Here is a 19,022-nt window from a genome sequence, read left to right as displayed (position 1 = left end):
CAGTTTCCATACTTGCTTACATCATTAAACACGTTAGTAGAATATGGCAACCTTTCTAGTGCCGTCTGCTTCGGTTTCATAGATCACATGCTCAATAATAGATCTCTAAATGACCACAGCTCACAGTGGCTATCCTATGGAAGGGAATGGCCTGGTTTTTCTTGATTGGGAAATACACTTGTTTAACCAGATGACTTCATTCTTATTCTAGTAACTGGGAAAAAATACAACAAAAGAATAATAAATTCAAGAATGATGCCTGTTCCCCGGGGAACTGGTGGATAAGGGGGAGAATGGTGGTGTTGGAGGGACAGATTATGACCTGTTGGAATGAGAAGAAATACAATTGTGATTAACACTTACAGAATGGTGTTTAACCTTAGGCCTAAAGTAGCTGGCTCAAAAGAAAACAAATTCGTTGATGTGAAAACACTGAGATTATTGACTTTTGGTTGAGAGAGGAAAATGGAGCCATTGTGATGTGGAAATAGCTAACACATTGTTTATTCTGCCTGGTTCATGGAAATCTATTTTTCACAGTACTTTATTCAAGTACTTTGATTTCAAGTACTTCCATTAAAAAAAAGGAAAGAGCCTTAAACTTCATTTTGTAGGAATAGGAATATGCCTTCCCTCACCTCAGTTCTGCCAAATACGTACAAAGACTCCAGACTCACAGCTACCACGTAGTGATGGGAAAATCCTTATGGATAAGCCTGAGTGGAAAAGGAAGACCAATTTTTCAAAATACAGTGGGACAGATTTCTTTCTTTACTATTGGCTTCAGGTTTCCCTGTCTTTCTAATGTCATGTCTATGATCAGAGGACCTCTCAAAAGTCTTTGTAAAGGAAATCTTACACTTTGACTTGTCACATGTGTAGAGCAAGTGAAGTGACAGCAGCATGGAAGAAAATCCAGTCCTTTTCTGTGAGCAGGAGACTTTGATAGACTCTCAGACTGCTGGGAATGTTACCTTTTGCTCAAATCACTTCTTAAATGAGCAGAGACACTTAGCCCATTTCCTGCCAGTGGGATGGCAGAATAGCTGATACTTTAAGAGGGACTTGGGTAGTTTTGAAGAGATTTTTCAGAACTTCAGAAACTTGTATGAATGTCCTGAAATGTCATTGCATGAATATTTTTGTCAGTAATACTTTTTAAATTCAAAATGTCCATTTGGCAAGAAATTTAGGTTGATGTAAACCTAGGAGCTTTTATAAGAGCTTTATGTAAACTCAATTAGGATGCTGAATGAAGAACCCTAACAGTGTTAGCAAACGACATTTAGGAAAGAGAAGGAGCCATGAAAAACAAAAATACTTATCCTACTGGGTCTGGGGAAAATCAGAACAAAGCAAAAGGTCTGGCTGTTTATATGAAATTCAATTCCAAATAGATGATAATTTAAATGTAAAAAAACAAGGCATAATGGTAGTGGAAGAAAATTTAAGCAAGATTTTCATATTCTAGAAGTGAGGAATGATTTTAAACATGACAGCTAAAACCAAAATCCAAAGAAAAATGTATAGATTGGTTATATGAAAATGAAAAAAGTCCTCAAAGATGAGATGTATATGTGAGATACTCATTGCTGCTTCACACGTAACACAAAATGGAAACCATCTAAATATCTACATTTGAGAATTAGTTTGAAAAAATAAAAGCAAAACCATGCAATAGACTACTATTACAAATGATAATGTAAACAGAAATTTATTATGGAGAAGAACCTATAATATGTTTGTGAAAAAGGGTCACAAAACATTTCAATTATAATATAATAATTTGACAAATGGTCATGTTATGCACATAGGAAGTTTGCATACTTTTTTTCTTGATATCTCATAAAAATTATTAAGCATACAGAAAAGGAGAACAATAATGAACACCCATATATTTTCTACCTGGATTCAAAAATTGCTAACATTTTGTCATATTTACTTTATTTCTGTGTACATACATTGCCCCACATACATTTGACTTCACTAACTACCTGATTTATGAATCTTTTCTAAATATTAATTAAGGCCCAGATTCTGCTTGAACAAGTTAAGTAGTGATGATCTCAGTCTCACTAAAGGCAATCTATTCGGTTTTGGGTCACACTTCCTAACAAAGTTTTTTCCTTGATTGCATTAAAATCTGAACTTCTGGGGTGTTATTAATGAATACAATTTAGCTATCTTTTTTTTGAAATAAGATGCTGAAACAAAAATTTATTCAATTAAGTTAAACTAGGGATATTGCAATTCTAGCTTTTATGTTATTAAAAGTAGTAATAATATTGCACATGTATCCTAGAACTTAAAGTAAAATAAAGATAAATAATTTGATTATTCATGCAATTATATACAATTATATATGCCCGTTTAAAGACAAATATGTATAATGACATTAAAATAATTAAATAAACCAATCTTCGTAAATTCTAAAACAATGTAGTAGTAATAATAAATCTTTGGCAGATTTGTCTAAACAATAGTTTGTGTCTAAGACTTTAACAACAGAAATGTCTCAGGGAAGGGGAATAGCACCACCTCTAACAGATGTCTTCACCTGTGGAGCAGCGTTCTCTCTTACAGGCATGGTGAGAAACCACTAAGCAAAGGCACTGTGCTCTGGGAAGATTCCAATCTGTCAGGGAGGCAGATGCCAGATATGAATATGCTGACAGGCGTTCTGGTGCTGTTCCAAGCTCCCCTTCAATGTTCAACTCCTTTGTCCTCCTCTCCCATCTTCATCAACCCTCCTGCCTTACTGGGCAGGGCAAGGATTGTTTTCCTGACATTCTCCTTTGATTAGCCAAGCATCTCAGTGAGGATTATTATAATCAACTCTTTTGTAATCTAATACCTTTTAGAATATGTATGTCTGTGTGTGCATAAGCTTTTGCATGCGTGTGTGTGTGTGTGTGTGTGTGTGTGTGAGAGAGAGAGAGAGAGAGAGAGAGAGAGTTGAGGAGGAGGCAGCTTTCAGAAAGTGGTGAGAAAGGGCTACCTGCCTTCCTACTCCCTAAGAAATTCTCAGATTTGGCCTTAGCCTCCCTCCTCCCTTTTCCCTTTCACTACTTCCTTACTCCAATTTCCCATTTTTTTCCTTCTTATTGAGATTTCTCTTCTAAAGTTGCCACTTGTCTCAAGTCCCCTGGGATTTTATAGTTCAGTTGTGAAATCAGATTTCCTTCTTCAGAGTTGTCCGCTAGGTTCTCTCACAAACAATATAGTTCTTCCCAATTCTGGCACATCTCAAAATATTCCTATGGGGCAGCAGTTTCTTAAATCTCTCTCAGCATTGGGACTAGGGTTCAAGGTTAATGATATTAGAGATTTGAGCAGGAGTTTGGGCACTGGATGGCACGCTGGATATTCTGCTCATTATTATGAGCCTCCCATGTTAGTTTCAGTGCTGGCCTCCTGAGATTAGGCTTTGAGTTAACACAGGGTCAAGTTCCATAAACTGGATATGGTATGGAAACAGCTAGGGGAAGGCTTTCAGCTTTTATTCAAAATTTATTACCTTAGGTTGTTAAAGGTTGATACATTTTTAAAAAATTAAAAAAGTACCATTTTCATCAGTTAATTTGTCATGTTGCTTTGTATTACTATGCTATGTATACCTCTGTACCTTCCAAAAAGTCAAAATTCTTGGTAAGATCTAGAGATTCTTGGCAATTTCATCACATATCTGCTTTATGGATTAGTTGAGGCTAGAATGAAGTACATGCTGAATGTCAGTTGAATTTCTATATCAAAATACTGAGGTGAAAAACTCTAAGAAGCATTGGATCATTGAAAAGGAAATGGAATAATAAAATTGAGAAACATTTGTTAGATCTGCCAAAGCAGCAAATGAACCAATGCCTGGAAGTTTCAAAGCTTTGAAAAGATTTATACCTCAGCATCGTCTGGCAACTATAGAGTAGTAGATAGGTACCAAAACTTTTCAATCAAATCATAATATACAAGAATTATTAATTAATAACATAATATATCAAAGGCAAGATAAAAATAATTTTGGACATTATAACATTTTTCTATGCTGTGAAACAAGCAGTTAAAAGATCATTTATGCTGAAGGAGAAGGATGATTTGACAACCTCTCAAGGTCTATTCTGGAATTTTAATTCTATAATTCTTGCATTGTTTAAATTTTCATTAGTGACTATCTCAGCACCAAATATATATCCATATTAATTGCAATAAAGATAATATATATGAACTAAAAAAATTGAACTGATTCTGCTTTTCACATTATTAAAATATTTAAGCTCAAATATTTTGTGCTTATTAAAGAAGATAACCCTGGTTAAAATAAAAAAAATGCTAAGCAAGTCAACAGCTCTGCATCGTGTACCTTCTTCATGTATAACAGCGCTTTGGGCACTGAGGATCCTATAAAGATGGTTAGTCTACCTCTGCTTCTAGGACTCTATGTTCTATTGTTGGTGTGCAGATTCTGCACATGTAAGATATAAATAATCATTTATGAAAGATAAATAATACAAGATAATGCATAATACATGAGAAGTGAAAGATGCTGCCAATGAGTACAGTACTAGGACCAGGAGATGGTGTTTGTGTTGTGAAGATGATAGAATTTTCCAGAGGAGGGGGACTTTGGGAAAATTGGGGAGTGTTTTTACTGAGAATGAGTAGGCTGATGTGCCACAGATCTGGTCCCAACATAGGGAAAAGAGATACTATATATATTATTTACACTCAGATCTTCCTCTGAAGGGAAAATATTTTTAAAAATAAAAAAATTATTTTTAACATAACTCAATTATTTAAATGAGGATCAATTCAAAGCAGGTGACATGAATTTTGCCCAAATCGGGGCTTTGGCCACTTTGTCCTTTATATGCAAGACGCTACCAGATAATGTATTGCAAATTACTTCAGGGTTTAGGAATCCTAGTTGTATTTGTACATAGGTGCTGTGTTTTCTTCTAGGCAGTCTTGACCCAAAGATTTATATTCTTGTTTACACATTTTATTTTTCCACAGATACTTAACCAACCTGACCTCACTTGTTGAGTATTTGTTTGTGAGATTCTTTAGCAAAGCTGCCCACACAAAGAAAAATTCAGGAGCATTTACAGAGGAAAGTTAAGTACCTAGAATTCCAGATACGTTCTATACAAATACTTGACTTTATGCAACCTTCACCTAATATATCTGACTTATGTTTACCAATTTATATTAATATTCATTTTGCATTTCATTGCAGCTTATCAAATTGTTATAGACTTTAAGCCTCACTGTTTTCCCGGTCAACCGTGCCAAAATTTTCTTATAATAAGGAACTTTTCCAACTAATTGATAGAGGTAGCAATTAACTCTACCATCTAGAAGCAAGATCTTTTGAGATTGCAGATTCAAATCTTACAGCTTGATTTTATGTCTCAATAATAGCTGTAATTTGGCAAAATATCCCCAAGTAATTTCATCCAAAAGAGTAGTTCTCCAGGAAGAGAGAGTGCACATTTACAGGCTAGGGCTCTGTCACAAAATATGGATTAAATCTAGAACTGTGCATCTCTGAGATAGAAAACACACACACACACGAGACAAAACAATGGAGACTTTTTTTTGGAGACAAACACAAGGCAGATATACTCTTCTAACATGGTAAATAAAAGAGCGCCCATTAAGAGGCACGGTGGGAAATGAATTGCTATATGTATTAAGAGTAGGTCTTGAGTATATTTCTTTGTCTTTTGGTGCCTCTGTTCCTCATCTTTGAAATGAAGGCAATACGGCACTACTCATCCTGAAGAGCCCAGTATAGTGCTCTATAAATATCAGCGCCCCACTTCTCCCTAGCCCCACATCGAGCAAATTCTCAATCTAACAACTATGCCATCAAACACTATTCACATACTCTGAAAAAGAAGCTTTCTAAAAATAGAATAAAGATCAGCCCTAGATGGTTTTAAACATAAAACACATCTCGAGGAAAGATTTTCACAAGTCTCCACAAATGGAAAGCAAAAGCAGTCAGATGAGAAATAACTTTTATTTCAAAAAGAAACCTTGGATGGAAATGAAAGAAACTAGAGGTAGTATTGGAAAACAGTGGGTTGATTGTTTGAGTAATTAGTGGTAAAACACAAATGTCAGGTTGTTTTTGGATCCTAAAATCACTGTAGGAAACCTATGGGAAGCTTTTCTTTGTGGGTGGCAGCTGGCCAGCCCCTGAGTGCAGATGTTTGCATGTCCCAGGCTACTTAGGACCCAGGGCTGCAGGCTGTCTGCAAGGCCCATGATGTTCTTTGAGAGTGTTTCTGTGCTTGAGTTAAGAAAGGCCTAGATTTTTTGAGGGGTCTGCTTCTGTGGTCCTGTTTACAAAGTAATTTGAGAGAAGTGTCTAAAAACATGTCCTTACTTGCTGTCAGAAGTTTTGCCCTTAGGCATTTGTTTCTTTGGGTTAAAGTATTCTCATTTTCAGATGTTCTCTTTCAAAATAAAAAAATTCGTAGAGGGCTATGAATAAAAAAATTCATACAGCCGATGTTTGTCTTAGTCCTTAATTTAGTCTTACTATGCAAGTAGGGCATCAAGGTGAGCCTAGGCTTTGTCCCCTCCCAGGGTTCAGGCATGCTGGACATGTCTGATGAGATAGTGGGACAGTTGACAGAACTGTTTGTACAGGCTGAGCATGTCTGGGTGGAAAATTTATCCCAAAGCAAAAAGCCAGACCCCATGCTTGGTTGAGCCATAAAGCCTTAGACGTTGAAGAGGAAAAATCATTCTGAACATGAAAGTGTGGTGTTTGTCCTTTGAAAGGGAGAGAGAATAAGTGAAAATAGAAAAATAAATTTCACTAGAAGTATAAACAGTGAAGTTTGAAAAACAATTCTGAGAATTCCTACATTTAGAGATTAAGTTAAGTAGGAGAGAGGCATTGCCCCATTGCACCCCAGATGGCTTTGCAGGTGCTGGTGACTTGTGGATCAGAGGCCTTGAGCTGGTGGGAGTTTGGGGGTGTGGAATTAGCCTGGAGCTGCTGCAAGTTCTATGTTAAGAGGTATGAGGAGCCTGTGACATTTGCTCGGGTTACAGGTGGAAAATGTGTTTATAAAATCAGACTTGGTATCACATGTATAAGGAAAGAGAAAACAAAGACATAGATTTTAAATTACGTTATACTTCTGTTTCCTAAGTGATGAAAAAGTGAGGATTCAGTAAAATAGGCGGTCAGTTTGAAACAATGTTTAAGAGTTAAAACTAGCCAGGGAAAGAGCACCCTATTTCTGTATAGACAATTTTGGTCAAAGAGTAAATTATTAATGAAAAAAGGAACTACCTAGTGAAAGAAGTGGGAAACATTTTGATAAAAAATTTATTTTAAAAAGTCTATCAAAAGCTTGTCAGAAAAGTTTACCACACAGAAAATTAAGTCAATATAAGTAGTGGATTCGTGTATTGTGATAGTGGTGTCTTTACTCTGAGAATTATTTGATGCAATTATATAGTGCATATAAATGGATTTATTTTAAAATAGAAGTTTAAGTTTTTGAAAACTAAGGTTTATACAAAGTTGGTCTCAGTGCTCTGTAAAGCCTCCGTTCTCATCATTGGCACTGCATCTGGTGGCAGTAATTTGAAGGATGAGGTAAAATTTCTGGCTGAGACTTTTGAAGTCAAACCAGAAACCACCTCAAATACTCAAGGGCTCAAATAATATAACAGGGATACACACAGAAGAAAAACAGTAAATTCTGTTAGTTGTCAAGTTATTAATATAATTTAAAGTAGCTGCAAATAGGACCCTAGGAATTGGGATTGTTGATGGGAAAGAGAATGAATATCACCAAAAAAGATGGAAAAGATACAGCAAGAATGCGGACCCACAAGTGTGTGTTTGGGAGCTTTTGACAGCACATGGCTAAGGTGTCTAGGAGGAGAGCTCCCTGAAGGCAGGGACTGAAGGAGAGAAGGGATCCAAGAATGATGCAGCCTCCTTTAACACCAAGCTTAGATGCACCCCTTAGAGACACACTCAGGGTTTCCTAGGCAATTCCTGTTGCAACTTTTAATAATATCTTTAAAGTAAATGCCCCACTTCTTAGAAACTCAAGCACTTTCCCAAGCATTGCATGTGATACTCAATTATAATGATTACATTTTGAAGAAACCAGCACAGGTTTTAAGATTTTTGAAAACTGTTGGCTTTAAAACTTCTTTCTCTTCTCCTCAGTTCAATTCAACAGACACTAGTAAGCATTACTATGTGCCAGGCATGTGCTGGCCACCAGAGGTAAAAAGATAATCAATGAATGATTGGTGAGTGATTTTGAGGGATAGATGGATAGGTGGAGCTTAGGTAGAGATAGGAGATGACATGGAGGCTTTATGAAAGATAAAATATTTGTCAGATAAGGAAGAGAGGAAGAAGGTTTCAAATAAAGCCATGGCTTCTTCAGGAAATACTAATTTGGAGTTGAAATATAGGATGCGGGAAATAATCTAGAGAGAAAGATAGTAAATATATTTATAGCTATTATTTACTGAGTACTTTCTTTGCACATAAAACTAGATTAAAGTCAGCTTGTAAGATTTTAAATGTTATGCTAAGAGATTTACACTTAAACTTTATTATGGGAGCAAGTAGAGAATGATTTCCTGTGACAGAATTGTGGAGTTCAAAAGACTAAAGTAATTTAACCGTGGCTACAATTACTGAGTATTTATTTTATGTCAAGCATTCGGCTAAGTGTGTTAAGCATTATCTCATTTATTAGGTCATGGTTTATTATGTTAGAATAACGAGATATGATAAGGCCCTTGATTAGATTTATTGTACTAGGGATAGAAAGGAGTCAACAATTTAAATATGGTGGGGAAAATATTTCAGAACTTTAAGCATTCATTCATTTGCTTACCCATTCACTCATTCAATAAATATTTATTGAGTCACTTACTATTTCGCCAAACTCTGAGCTAGATATTAAAAGCCAGGTGTTTGTGATGTGAGCTTCCTTTGTGTCAGCAGCTTTTCCAAGTCCGTTGCAGGTATACGTGCCTTTTTATTGTCATTTTTACAGATGAAGAAATAAAGACAAAGAGACATTAAATTACTTATCCAAGGCCAGAGAATTAGCATGTAGGACTTGAACCACCTGGGCTGGCTCCAGATGTGGCCTCCTTTAATACTCTATACTACGTTTCACAGGTAGGTAAACCCTCTGACCTCAAACATGTCACTTTTTAGTTAGAGAAGAAAGACATAAAAGCAAATAACTAAAATACTCCAAATGCATACTTCCAGTGCACAAAGTGCAGTGTGGTATTTCCAGCTTTGGGCTATTATGAATACAACTGCTATACACATTCATGCACAGGTTTCTGTGTGAAGTCTTCATTTCTACAGGATAAATGCCTAAGAGTGTAATTGCCATCTGATCTTATGGTAGTTGCACGATTGGTGTTTGAAGACACTGGCAAAGTATTTTCTAGGGTGGCTGCACCGTTTTACATTCCTAGTAGCAGACTGTGAATAATCCAGTTGCTCTGCATCCTTGGCAGCACGTAGCGTTGTCACAATTTTTTATTTTAGTCATTCTGACAAGTGTGTAGTGATATGTCTTTGTGGTTTTAATTTGCATTTCTCTAACGGTTAATGATGTCAAACATCTTTTCATGTGCTTATTTGCCATCTGTATATCTTCTCCAGTGAAATGTCTCTTCATGTCTTTTGCCTACTTATTAATTGGATTTTTTTTTCTGTTGGGGTTTGAAAATTTTTTATATATTCTAGTTACTAAATAGTAGTCCTTTGTTGAACATGTGGTTTGCAAATATTTGCTCTTGGTCTTTAACTTGTCTTTAAAAGGTCTTTTGCATATTTAATCTTGAGTGTGGTTAAAAATAAAATTTGTGAAACAAATATATGTTTATCATATTGACTTTTTTTTTTTTTTTTGAGACAGAGGCTCGCTCTGTCCCCCAGGCTGGAGTGCAGTGGTGCATGGGTCACTGCAACCTCCACCTCCCAGGTTCAAATGATTCTCCTGCCTCAGCCTCCCTAGTAGCTGAAATTACAGACCCTGCCACCACACCTGGCTATGTAAATTTTTTCTTTTTAGTAGAGATGGGGGTTTCACTATGTTGGCCAGGCTGGTCTCGAACTCCTGACCTCAAATGATCCACTGCCTTGGCCTTCCAAAGTGCTGGGATTACAGGAATGAGCCACCACACCAGGGCTATATTGACTTTTTTAGAGTTAAACTTTAGGGGTCATGCCGATTCAGATGAGCAACTGTTAAAAAAATCTCTAAGCTTTGCTAACTTTAAAAAAAAATTTAAGTTGACATATCATAGTTGTACATACTTTTTGGGGTCCATGTGATATTTTGATACATGTGTACAATGTGTAATGATTAAATCAGGGTAACTGGGATAGCCATCACCTCAAACATGTATCTTTTGTTTGTTTTGGGAACATTAACAATTCTCTTTTTCTAGCTATTTTGAAATATGCAATAAATTATGTGTGTCTATGTTCATGGTGGATATCGGTCTGTAGTTTTGTTTGTTTGTTTGTCTGACTAACTTTATCAGGTATTTGTATCAAGGTAATATTAACATCACAAAATATTAGCTTCTTCCCTCTTTAATTTTCTAAAAGAGAATGTGTAAAAGTGGAGTTCATCAAGTTTGGAAGAATTCTCTATTGAAATTACCTGGACCTGGAGATTTCTTTCTTGGAAGTTTAAAAATTATAAATTCAATTTCCTTGATACTTACAAGCACATTTAAATTATCTATTTCATATGAGGTTCATTGTGAAAGCTTAAGACACTGGCCCATTTCATCTCCTTTCTCAAATTTATGTGTGTAAAGTAACTTATAGCATTTCCTCATTTTTCTTTTGTTATTTGTAGGGTCCATAGTGATATTCTCTTTTTCATTTCTGGTATTGGTAATTTATGTCTTTTATCTTTTTTACTTTTTCAGTCTTGCAAAAGGTTGTCAATTTAATTGATCTTTGAAAAACAGCTCTTTGTTTCATTCATTTTTCTGTATTTAATTTCAATGATTTCTGTTCTTACCTTTATTATTTCTTTCATTTTCCTTGCTGTTGATTCAGTTTGCTCTTCTTTTTTTGTTCTTGAAGTGGGAGCTTAGATTGTTGAATTGAAACTTTTCTTTTTTTTGTAATGCATGAATTTTGTGCTCTAAAGTTATCTCTCAGCACTGCTTTAGTGTGTTCCAGAAATTTTGATATATTGTATTTTCATTTCATTCAGTTCAATATATTTTTTAATTTCCCTTGAGACTTCCTCTTTTATCAATGGGTTACTGTGGTCTGGTCTCCAAACTTGGACATTTTTCTGCTATCTTTCTCTTATTGATTTGTAATTTTAGTTATTTGTGGTTGGAGAACACATTCTGTATGATTTCAATTTTAAAAAATTTGTTGATATTTCTTTTATGGTTCAGGATATAGTTTATCCCGGTATGTGTTCTGTGCTCACTTGACCAAATGTGTATTCTACTATTATTGGGTGAACTGTTTTATAAAAGTTGATTATATCCTGTTCGTTGATAGTGTTGCTGAGTTCCTTATCTTTGCTGATTAACTGTGTAGTTGTTCTATCAATTGTCGAGAGTTAGTTGTTGAAGAAAACAACTAAAATTGTGGGTTTATTCTTTCAGTTCTATTGTTTTTTTCCCCACGTATTTTGCATCTCTGTTGTTTGACACATACACTTTAATAATGCTATGTATTTTTGGTGGATTAACCCTTTTATCATTTTATAATGGGCCTCTTTATCTCTAATAATTTTCTCTTTTTTTAAAGCCTATTTTATTAGGTGTTTTTTTCCATCCTTTTCCTTTTAACCTGCCTATATTGTTTTACTTAAAGTGAATTTTTGTGGACAGTGAATAGTTGGGTCATATACTCTGCCAGTCTATTCTTTCACCCTCTATTTTTTAATTTGTAGATTTGGACCATTTTTATTTAGTGTACTTACTGATATGTAAGACATAAGCATATCATTTTTTTGTTTTGTTTTCTGTTGTTCCCTCTGTTTTTTTTTTTAATTTTCCTACCTTCCTATGAGTTACTGGAAGGTTTCTATTAGTTCTATTTTATTTTGTTTATAGTGTTTCTGAATAGCTTTTTTCACAATTGTTCTAGGTATTACATTACTTATACATAACTTATCATAGTCTATTGGTTTCATAATTTTACTAATTTGAGTGGCATTGAGAAACATTGCCTTCTTTTATATATATTTCCCTCACTTACTTACAATAAAATTGTCTGAAATTTTTTCTCTACCTGCATTTAGAGCCACATCACATTTTTGCATCTATCACCAAACATAATTTTGAAAGCTCAAGAGGAGAAGGAAAATATTGTATTCACCATATTTTTGTTTACCATGTTCTTTCTTCCTGATGTTCCAAGGCTCTTTAAAAAAAAAAACAAAACAAAAAATCAGTTTCTGTCTGTTTAGATAATTTAATCTATTTTTTTTACAGTATATATCTGTTAATGACAAATTCTCTTAGTTTTTTTTTTTCACCTGAGAATGTATGGATTTGCTCTTCATTTCTGAAGGATATCTTCTCCAGATATAGGATCTAGGTTGATATTTCTTTATTTTCAGTACTTGAAAATTGTGCCACTTTATTCTGCCTCTGTGGTTTCTGATGAGAAATCCACTGTCATTCAAATTGTTTCTTGTCTATACATAATATGTCATTTTCCTCCCTGCTTCCAATATATATATATATATATTTTCTTTAGTTTTCACAAGTTTGATTACAATGTATCTTGGAGTAAATTTTCTTAGGTTGATCTTGTTTGGGGTTTTCCCAGCTGTTGACTTTGTAGGTTTATGCCTTTTGTCAAATTTGAGAAGTTTTCATCCATTATTTTATTGAATACTTTTTAAACCCTGTTTTGTTTCTCTCTCTTTTTTTTTTTCCAGAACACCGGTGATGTGTTAGACCTGTTATAATCCAATTGGTCTCTTTATTTTTTCATCCTATTTTCTGTCTTCAGGTAGAATAATTTCGAGTATTCTACCTTTCAGTTCACTGATTCTTACTCCCTCCCCTCCATTCTACTGTTTAATCCATAGGTTGACATATTTATTTGGATCCTATGTTTATTTTATTTGCTCATCCTATGTTTTGATCTTTGAAAATCTATTCAGATCAAATGAGTTTGTCAACTAAGAAGGCTTTGCATTAAAGGGAAGATTTGGCTACACCTAAAATCACTGAACTTACATTGAAAACGTTGTCCTGCCAGTGTGTAAGTGCCAGATAAAGCCCCTTGATTGGTGAGAGCAGAGTGATATTGACCCACATCGGCATCATACAAAGTCCAAAGCTATTGGTCAGTTCTCCTTTCATACATGAGATAGATTGCCCAATATCCTTGTTCATCTAATAGTTTCATGCTTATCTGTGGAATGACTCTGGACTGGGCTGCTTATCTTTCTTAGTCTGACTTTTGTTCTGACTGGTGAACCCTGTTTTGGATTCTAGTTTTAGTGTTGTTGACCTCTTTTCTGCTAGTACTCACACATGAACTATGCTCTGTATGCTCTGTAGGTTTGATATTTGCTTTTTCTCTGCTCAGAGTTCTATTTCCTTTTCTCTTTGATTTCAATGAGGCTTTCAAAAAATATTTCAATTTCCTAAAGAGAATAATTTTCTAAATCACTGCTATTATGGAGTTGCCTCTATAATTATTTCAGCATTAAATTTTATTTTCTGTACAACGACAGCATTACCACATGATCTAAAAGGACCCCCTTCTTGAAATGATCTTCAAGTCAATCCTGTAGGGATGTGGAATCCAGTGGCCTTTACAAGGTGTTGGAATTGTGAAGAAATTTCATATGTATATTGTTTTTTGAGCCAACTCATCAAGCTTGATATAATAGAGCACAATTATCCAGAAGCTGTGTGTACCGAGTACATTTTCCCTCCTATGAGTCTGGGAAATGAATATTATTAAGACAATATTGGAAAAGTTTTACCAATACTGACCTCACCCAACTAGAGAGTGAGTAGTAAATGATTCACCTTTAGAAGTAAATGAATCTTTTCAGATAACTTTGGTACCTGGTAGTATGCCAGAGATATTCATTGCTAAATGAGTTAAGCAATTTATAAACAAATTTCCCTCAACTTCAAAAGCACACACTGCTAAATACTAGTCTGATCAAGCTCATCTCATGCTATATCAAACAGAATCCAAATACACCTTACGTTAATTGGCTCTCACATGAGACATCTTTCTGTAGTGCCCAGGGATTGCAAAATTTTTGTCAGCAGCTTTTGGGAGAGAAACTTTATGAAATTTGAACATATTTTATTATTAAAAATTAGCTTTTACAACTAAAAATTTCCCTGGGCATTGATTTTATCTTCAGTTGATTACTCAGTGTCACATCACTAGGCAAAAATTCCCTGGAGTTCAGCTACCTCTTGGTCACATTTATTTTGTTAAGAATATTTAACTGAGGACTATGTCAAATATTTGCTGTCTTGTTCTTTGAAACTTAAGGTATATTTTAAACCTTACCTAAAGCAATTGTAGGATACTTTTTGCTTTGGATTTTTATAGGCTAATAAACTTCATATTCACAAGTACTAAAGTAAAATATATATATATATATAATATGTGAAAAGTTATTTAAAGTCCAGAAGAGCATAATAACATATTAAAACCATTTTATCACTAAAATGTAAAACATATTAATATAATTATCATGCACTTCAATGCTCATTTCTTTTAGTTAAAAGAGAATAACTTTCACAGTTTGCTTCTGAATTTAGGAAAATGGCAGTTAAGTTGCTTATACAATTCTTGGGCCATGACTGAGAATTCTGTCATTTTATTTTCTTCTGACATGGATTGTTGCAGAAAGTATTGCTAAAGCCAGCTGATTTTAATTCCTTTGAAAGAGGCTTTCTCTATAACTTTAAAATTCCTTCTTTCTGCCTCATTCACTTTTTGCTTTTCTTCTGGGATTTCAAAGTTAGACTTCATGGTATCTCCTGTATCTCTTACTTTCTATTCTGTATTTTGCATACTTTAATCTCTTCATGCTTCATTTTGATTATTTATTCCAATTTTGCTTCCAGTTCACTAATTTTCTCCTTAGCTATGTATGATCTAATTTTAGACTCATTCATTGAATTTTTAGTATCAATTATTATACTGTTCATGTCCAGAAAATCTGTTTGGTTTTATTTTATAGTTTCTTTTTTCTTAGTTAAAGTTCTTAGTGTATGTTTTTCTTGTATCTTTGGACATATTATTAAATGCTTAAAGTCTGTGTATAAAAATTTCATAACCTAGGTGCCCTGTAGCTCTAGAACTGTTGTCTCTTATTTTTCTTGGTTTTAAAATACATTGTTGGGTTATTCTTGATTGTGCTAAACAATGTATATGAAAAACTATAAAATTAATTTGAAGCACCAGATAGTGTCATCCTAGACCTTATTAATTGTATGTTTTCTTTTGGCTAGGGATACCAGTAATCCCAGATTATCTCATTCTAATTATAGAAATTGATACAATATGAAGCCATACTTTAGCCTCTGCAAAGATTGAACCACTTCTGGTTTATCTTTATTCCTAAGGCTCAATCTTTGGAATCCTAACCCAAAATGTGGTGTATTTTACCAGAACTAGTTTGTTCCTGTAGTCAAAAAGGCTTTCAAAATTGCTGGATAGATTTCTTTTCTTTTTTCTTTTTTTTTTTGAGAAAACCCCAGAAATTCTGGATTTTATTTATTTATTTATTATTTTATTTTATTATTATTATACTTTAAGTTTTAGGGTACATGTGCACAACGTGCAGGTTTGTTACATATGTATACATGTGCCATGTTGGTGTGTTGCACCCACTAACTCATCATTTAGCATTAGGTATATCTCCTAATCTCCTAATGCTATCCCTCCCCCCTCCCCACACCCCACAACAGTCCCCGGAGTGTGATGTTCCCCTTTCTGTGTCCATGTGTTCTCATTGTTCAATTCCCACCTATGAGTGAGAACACGCGGTGTTTGGTTTTTTGTCCTTGCAATAGTTTGCTGAGAATGATGGTTTCCAGTTTCATCCATGTCCCTACAAAGGACATGAACTCATCATTTTTTATGGCTGCATAGTATTCCATGGTGTATGTATGCCACATTTTCTTAATCCAGTCTATCATTGTTGGACATTTAGGTTGGTTCCAAGTCTTTGCTATTGTGAATAGTGCTGCAATAAACATACGTGTGCATGTGTCTTTATAGCAGCATGATTTATAATCCTTTGGGTGTATACCCAGTAATGGGATGGCTGGGTCAAATGGTATTTCTAGTTCTAGATCCCTGAGGAATCGCCACACTGACTTCCACAATGGTTGGACTTGTTTACAGTCCCACCAACAGTGTAAAAGTGTTCCTATTTCTCCACATCCTCTCCAGCACCTGTTGTTTCCTGACTTTTTAATGATTGCCATTCTAACCGGTGTGAGATGGTATCTCATTGTGGTTTTGATTTGCGTTTCTCTGATGGCTAGTGATGATGAGCATTTTTTCATGTGTTTTTTGGCTGAGTAAATGTCTTCTTTTGAGAAGTGTCTGTTCATATCCTTCACCCACTTTTTGATGGGGTTGTTTGTTTTTTTCTTGTAAATTTGTTTGAGTTCTTTGTAGATTCTGGATATTAGCCCTTTGTCAGATGAGTAGGTTGTAAAAATTTTCTCCCATTCTATAGATTGCCTGTTCACTCTGATGGTATAGATTTCTAAAGATCAAAACATAGGTTGAGTGATGTCTCGCTAGCAAGCTTTTTCAGGATTATCTGAAGGAGACTGAGTGTTGCTTGATATTTGATAATCTTAGTGGGGGAGTCCAGAACCTAAAAATAAAAAAAATAATAATTTATGATATCTATATACTGGGTCAGAGCTAGATAGAAGTGAAGAAACATGTCTTGATCTGTAACTTCTCTTCTTTTATCTTAAGGAAACCGACTATATATGTGATGTGGATGTAGCCACAGCTCTGTGAGAATACACAAAATTTTATAGCTTTTTAGTGGGTTAGGAGGGACTCTTCTCTTACATTTCTCTCTTTATTTTCCCACAAGTTGGTTAGTTCTGGAATCTGGAAGAAGGCATGGGATTGTTTTGTAACTGTCTCCTGATGCTAAGGCCACTAAGGCTATCTCCTCCCCAGCAGTGACCTCACCTTGGCCCGACACTCATTAATTAATTTGAAGCACCTTGATTGTTAGTTTTAAAATCTTCTAGGGAAAGAAAAGTGAGAGTATAAAGTTGGCTCCACGTTAAGCATAGATTTTTCTTTAAAATTCTCTAAATATTTATTTAATTCTGAATGCTATATGATTGCTTTCATATTAATTTTTCAGTAGAGAAATTGAATACAATTCAATGAATTTTAATTTGATGAAGTACCTGATAAGATAATTTAAAAATCGGCTGGGTGCAGTGGCTAACACTGAAGTAATCCCAGCGCTTTGGAAGGCAGAGGTGGGTGGATCACTTTGAGCTCGGGAGTTGAGACCAGCCTGAGCAACATGGCGAAATCCCATATCTACTGAAAATACAAAAATTAGCCGGGCGTGGTGGCCTGTAATCCCAGCTATGGGGGAGGCTGAGGCTGGAGAATTGCTTGAACTCGGGAGGCAGAGGTTGCAGTGAACCAAGATCAGGCCACTGTAACTCCAGCCTGGGTGACAGAGCAAGACTCCGTCAAATATTTTACTTCAACTTTTACTTCAAGTTCAGGAGTACATGCACAGGATGTGCAGGTTTCTTACATAGGTAAACATGTGCTATGGTGGTTTGCTGCACACATCAACCCATCTAGGTGTTAAGCGCCAGTATGCATTAGCTATTCTTCCTGCTGCCCTCCCTCTCCCCACTCCACTCTGACAGGCCCCCGTGTGTGTTGTTCCCCACCATGTGTCTGTGTGTTCTCATCGCCCAGCTCCCACTTACAAGTGAGAACGTGCGGTGCTTGGTTTTCTGTTCCTGCATTAGTTCGCTGAGGATAATAGCTTCCAGCTCCATCCATGTCTCTGCAAAGGATATAATCTCATTCCTTTTTTATGGCTGCATAGTATTCCATGGTATATATGTACCACCGTTTCTTTATCCAGTCTATCACTGATAGGCATTTGGGTTGATTTCATGTCTTTGCTGTTATGAACAGAAGCACAGATTTTTTTTTATGGAGGATAATATATTTTTCTTTTGCTAACCTAATTGAGAAATTAGCTTGTATGTATTTGTCAGCATGATTTTCTTTCTGCAACAGAGCTTCCTGTGGTGTTCATGGGATGGAATTTTAGACCATTCTAAAATGTTGGTTTTCTTCATGTCTTGGAGGGGCTTAAGAGAACAACCATGCTGAGGGGATTTTGACAAATGTAAAATTGGCTTTTGGTTTCTATATTGAAAGAATTCTGTGTGCAAGACATTATACCTTGCAAATAGTTAGGAAATAACTGTTCAAAACTTTTCTCCAGTATATTTTTCACAACGATTTACTTGTGATTTTGAAGGATGGGTTAGAGTTGAGTGGTCTTTTGTAGACTGTGGAGTATTAAAATGGCCCAATCCCCCGTTTTATAAATCCCAAGACTCATTAGTATGTTGAGGAAATACAAAATTGTCCATGCCAAAAAGCAATCAGGGCCTGAAATGATCTTTGTAGTGAAGTCCAATTAAAACTAAGCTGTAAGTTTTGCTAAATCTATTGGCTGACCTAGTAGTACCCATTTCATAGTGTTGCTGAGGCCAACACAGTATAAGAACATGGTAACACAATATTGAGGATTACATCTGATCCTATTCTTTTTTTGTTTGTTTTGTTTTGTTTTGTTTTGTTTTTGCTTTCCAATGACTCTCTAAAGGAAGATAATATAAGGGCACCTCATTTTATGCAATTGGAATGGTTCTTGGTAATACACTTAAAGATATGTTAAACATTTTAAAGTGTACTTTGGAGAATATTTACAAGA

This window comes from Homo sapiens, chromosome 1, assembly GCF_000001405.40.
Source record: "Homo sapiens chromosome 1, GRCh38.p14 Primary Assembly".
Taxonomy (NCBI): domain Eukaryota; kingdom Metazoa; phylum Chordata; class Mammalia; order Primates; family Hominidae; genus Homo; species Homo sapiens.
Note: the sequence above shows the minus strand (reverse complement) of the source record.